Source organism: Homo sapiens, chromosome 6 (assembly GCF_000001405.40).
Source record: "Homo sapiens chromosome 6, GRCh38.p14 Primary Assembly".
In the NCBI taxonomy this organism is placed as follows: domain Eukaryota; kingdom Metazoa; phylum Chordata; class Mammalia; order Primates; family Hominidae; genus Homo; species Homo sapiens.
In genome coordinates this window covers 141,685,055-141,689,227 of record NC_000006.12, presented here as the reverse complement: position 1 = coordinate 141,689,227, position 4,173 = coordinate 141,685,055, and the positions used below count along the sequence as shown (strand labels likewise).

The window sequence follows — 4,173 nt, the reverse complement described above, 5'->3', positions numbered from 1 at the left end:
GACAGTGGGTCAACATGACCTACTAGTTTTCTTTGGCTTCATAACATATGAAGCAGCTTGAAACAACACAGATTCATTCTTTTCCAGTTTCAGTAGACCTGAAACTCAGTATACCATGACTGAGTATACTCAGTTCTCTGTTCAAGGTCTCACCAGGCTAAATATGCAGTGTGGGGGTTTCTTCTTCAAATTTCACTTTCTTATATTTTACACACGGTCCTTTTGATCTTCAAGCATCAGTGACATATCAAGTCTTTCTTGTGCTTTTAACTTCCCTCCCCACTGGCTGAAAAATTCTCCGTTTTAAGGTCTCAGGTGATTATATTAAATTCACCTAAATAATCTATTTTTGGCTATATAATGTAATGTGATTATGGGAGTGACACAAGGTAGTTCTGCCCACTATTAATCTGGTTAATCTAATTAATCTGGTTCTGCCAGATTAGTTTTCTGATTGATACCATTCATGGACGTGAAAACATTATGTTGAGAAAAATGTCTACGCATATATGAATTTGGAAGGGACCCACCTACATAATATAATTAAATATGTGGTACAGAAACGACAACTTGTTGTTCACAAAGTAACCTTCCTTCCTTCCCCACCCCATCTGACCTAATATAATCCAATAATTCTCTCCACTTGGCCTCTGGGACATTTATTTATTCACTTGCTTACCAAGTATAAACCACACTACATATCATAAATAACATAGGTAAGAAAAATAGTATCATGTTAAATGTTGTACTGGGAAACACAAACATTAGCTAGCTGTTTGAGTTATCCAGGTCTGTTAGATGGATTAAGCTACTTGAAGTATGACCTTATAGTTCTAACTTCTGCCTAGCATGCAACATGGAAAGCTCCATTTTAATAAAAAGTACAAACCAAGGTCAAATTTTCTGCATTGAGAACCACAGTCCTCAGTAATTAGTAATCTTATACAACAAAAGGATAACTCCAAGTACAGATTTCTAGCTGGGTGGAAGTGGTATGTTCTTGAATGTAATGGAGGAATGGCAAAATGAGATGTTTGAGATTAAACCTTAGTCACTTCACTTTTCTCTCATGTGACAACCATACATATAGTAATTTATAAACACAAGCATTCTTATTGATTAACAAGTGTGAGAAATTAAGAATTTTAGAACCGAAAACTGAGAACCTGAGTAGTTCTATAGGGTTCTTTAAAAACAAGACTTAACTACTATATTTTTGATGCAAAGAATTTAATAACTTTCAGTTTCTAGTTCATACATTTTAGTTTCAAATTACTTAGCATTTTCATGCTTGAGATAAACCTAAATTAAGTGTTAATAAGTATAAGTTTGCTAATATTAACTAATATTAGTTTAGTTGTGAAGAATTCATGGATGAATACCCCAAATAGACCTTAATTTATTTTCATTACATAATTTTAAAATTATTTCAAGACTTACACGTAGCCTATAAAAATCATTTTAAAAATTCACAATATTTAGGAAATATAACTATATTTATAATGGCAATTACTATTTAACTTTTTTACATTTTAGTTCTTGAAGGACTAGGTTGAAACAGTAAGTTCTCCTTAATATTGCAAGTATGACTTCCAAGTTACTTCTACTTGCTAGATTAATAAAATTTGTTTATGTTTGTATGACAAAGAATTAATATTTTACTGGTAAGAACATGAAAACATAAACTATAGACTGGGAGAAATTACTTGCAAGTCATATTTCTAATAAAGCACTTATATCTTGAAGATATAAAAATTCCTATAACTGTAATTCAATATTAACAAGAAAATTCCTTTAAAAAACACATTTAAAGAGAGACTTCTTCAAAGAAGATATAAAAATGGGCAGTGAGCACATTGAGAGATGCTAAGTATAGTTAGTTGTTTGAGGGATACATATATTAGGTTGGTGCAAAAGCAATTGAGGTTTTTGCATTGTTGAAATTTGTCATTTGATATTGGAATACATTCTTAAATAAATGTGGTTATGTTATACATCATTTCAATGTGTGTTTCTCACTTTATTCTTTTTTGCTAATGACTTCTTACTTGCTGTTTATTTTACATTTATTTTACACTTTTGAAATGATGCCAGACAAAAAGGAAATTTGAGCGATTTTCTTATTTGAGTTCAAAATGGGTCGTAAAGCAGCAGAGACAATTCGCAACAACAACAACGCATTTTCCCAGGAACTGCTAATGAATGTACAGGGCAGTGGTGGTTCAAGAAGCTTTACAAAGGGGATGGGAACTTTGAAGATGAGAAGCACAGTTGTCGGCCATCAGAAGTTGACAATAACCAATTGTGAGCAATCATTGAAGCTGATCCTCTTACAACTATGCGAGAAGTTGCCCAAGAACTCAACATCGACCATTCTATGGTTGTTTGGCATTTCAAGCAAATTGGAAAGGTGAAAAAGCTCGATAAGTGGGTGCCTCATGAGCTGACCAAAAATCAAAAAAGTCATTTTGAAATGTTTTCTTTTATTCTATCGAACAATGATGAAGCATTTCTCAATCGGATTTTGACGTGCAATGAAAAGTGGATTTTATATGACAACCGTGACAACGGGCGACCACCAGCTCAGTGGTTGGATCGAGAAGCTCCAAAGCACTTCCGAAAGCCAAATTCGCACCCAAAAAGAGTTATGGTCAGTGTTTGGTGGTTTGCTGCCGGTCTGCTCCACTACAGCTTTCTGAATCCTGGCGAAACCATTACATCTGAGATGTATGTTCAGCAGATCGATGAGATGCATCTAAAACTGCAATACCTGCAGCTGGCATTGGTCAACAGAAGGGGCCCAATTCTTCTCCACGACAACACCTGACCACACATCGCACAACCAACACTTCAAAAGTTGAACGAATTGGGCTACAAAGTTTTGCCTCATCTGCGATATTCACCTGACCTCTGACACACCGTCTACCACTTCTTCAAGCATCTCGGCAATTTTTTGCAGGGTAAATGCTACCACAACCAGCAGCATGCAGAAAATGCTTTCCAAGACTTTGTCGAATCCCTAAGTACGGAATTGTACACTACGGGAATAAGCAAACTTATTTCTTGTTGGCAAAAATGTGTTGATTGTAATCGTTCTTATTTTGATTAATAAAGATGTGCTTGAGCCTAATTATGATTTAAAATTCGCAGTCCAAAACCGAAAATGCCCTGCTACTTTCCACCCTCTGTGATGGCTATAATCAAAAAGACAGACAATGGGAAGTGCTGGTGAGGATGTGGGGAGATTGGAGTCCTTAAATGTTGCTACTCATTAAGTAAATTGACACAACCATTTTGGAAAATACTTTGGCATCTACTTAAAAAGTTAAACATTTACCATACAGTCTACCAATTCCACTCTTGGGCATCCAACCAATAAAAATTAAATTAATATATTTCCACAAATAAACTTGGATGTTAATGCTCATGGAAATATTATTCTTAATACCATAACTGGAAACAATTTAAATGTCCATCAGCACACTATAGCTTATCTGTCCAGTAGAATGTTATTCAGCAATGAAAAAGAGTAAAGTACTGAAACATAGCACAGTATGAATTATCTCAAAAATATTTTGCTAAGCTACAGAAGTCTGTTACAAAAGACTTATGCTGTATGATTCAACTTACATGAATTTCCCAGAAAAGGCAAATCTGTAGAGACAGACTCAGATCAGTTGTTGCCTGAGACTGGAGGTGAGAGCAGGAATTCACTTCAAATGGGCAGAATAAATTTTGGGGGGTAATGGAAATGTTCTAAAACTTGATGTTCGTGATAGTTGCACAACTCTACCATTGTGTTAAAAGCTAGTTCTTTACTTGCAATAAGTGCATCCTTATAGATGGAAATAATACTTTGTTATATAAAGTTATTTTTTAAAATATTGAATCAATTTCTCTCATATTCAGCTGGGAAACAGGTGCTCCAAATTTTTCATATCTTGGATCTTTGGCTAAATCCTCTTATTTGGCAAAGCTGTAGTATTTAATCAGGTAAAAACAAAACAATTTTCTCAAACGTCAGCGTCACCAGATGACAATGATATGAACTACACTTTCTTTAAATATAATTTTTTTTTTCCACGAGAAACAGTTTTTTTTTGTTTTTTTTTTTTTTTTTTTTTTGCTCTGCTCTGTATTTTGGGAGATTAGCTGAGAAGACCACTGTTTTCC

At 34.4% G+C, this 4,173-nt stretch overlaps 1 protein-coding gene across 1 annotated transcript; it reads left to right on the top strand.

The window, feature by feature from the left end:
• Nucleotides 1-2,059: 2,059 nt before the first annotated feature.
• On the top strand, nt 2,060-3,130 carry LOC124901415 (histone-lysine N-methyltransferase SETMAR-like). The gene has a single exon (XM_047419639.1). It carries the CDS (start codon nt 2,339-2,341, stop codon nt 2,825-2,827), a length of 489 nt encoding a protein of 162 aa, XP_047275595.1. The 5' UTR covers nt 2,060-2,338; the 3' UTR covers nt 2,828-3,130.
• Nucleotides 3,131-4,173: the final 1,043 nt, after the last annotated feature.